This window comes from Homo sapiens, chromosome 18 (assembly GCF_000001405.40).
Source record: "Homo sapiens chromosome 18, GRCh38.p14 Primary Assembly".
NCBI lineage: Eukaryota > Metazoa > Chordata > Mammalia > Primates > Hominidae > Homo > Homo sapiens.
In genome coordinates, this window is record NC_000018.10 from 67,104,666 (window position 1) to 67,105,226 (window position 561).

Consider the following 561-nt stretch of genomic DNA (forward strand, 5'->3'; position numbering starts at 1 on the left):
GGCTCCAGATTTAACACTGTCCACAGTTAATTAATCTCATTAGCTTATTTGTTCTTTAGTGTGAATGTAGGTAATTTAGTTCTGGTTGTCTGTTCCTAGTTGCGTATATCCCTGGTTGAAATAGCATCCCTTCTTCTTCATCGCACTTCTCAAGTTAGAGAAATGCAGCACTGGGGGAATCATGTCATGGCTCTTAAAGCTCTTGCCAGAAGGTGGCGCAGGGGTTCTCCCTGTCATACCATTCAGCGAAGGTAATTGCATGACAGATACTGACATGTGATTGTATGTGGCAATGGAACACAACCCTCTTGTCAAATAAAAATTTTAAGAGGGTTTATAAAAGAATTCAAATATGTTTTGAGCAGCATTTCCAAAGAATTACTTGTGAATGTGAAATTAATAATATGGAAAGACTGATTATAATTTCTGAAATTATATTCCAGCTGACAAGCTGAAAGATTACGGGATCCATAATCAGAGGAAGGAATAAACATGAGAGCAGAAGTCCTTTAATTGTAACAGAAGATAAGGCAGAATGTCTGGGCTCAAATATACGCAGAT

General features: G+C 37.8%; 1 annotated feature.

Annotated features, from left to right (window-relative positions):
• Positions 243-292: a silencer, noted in NCBI's record as "silent region_9535". NCBI's record gives its function as "represses an Ori minimal core promoter by ATAC-STARR-seq in GM12878 lymphoblastoid cells {active_cell/tissue: GM12878}" and the evidence as "EXISTENCE:reporter gene assay evidence [ECO:0000049][PMID:35858748]".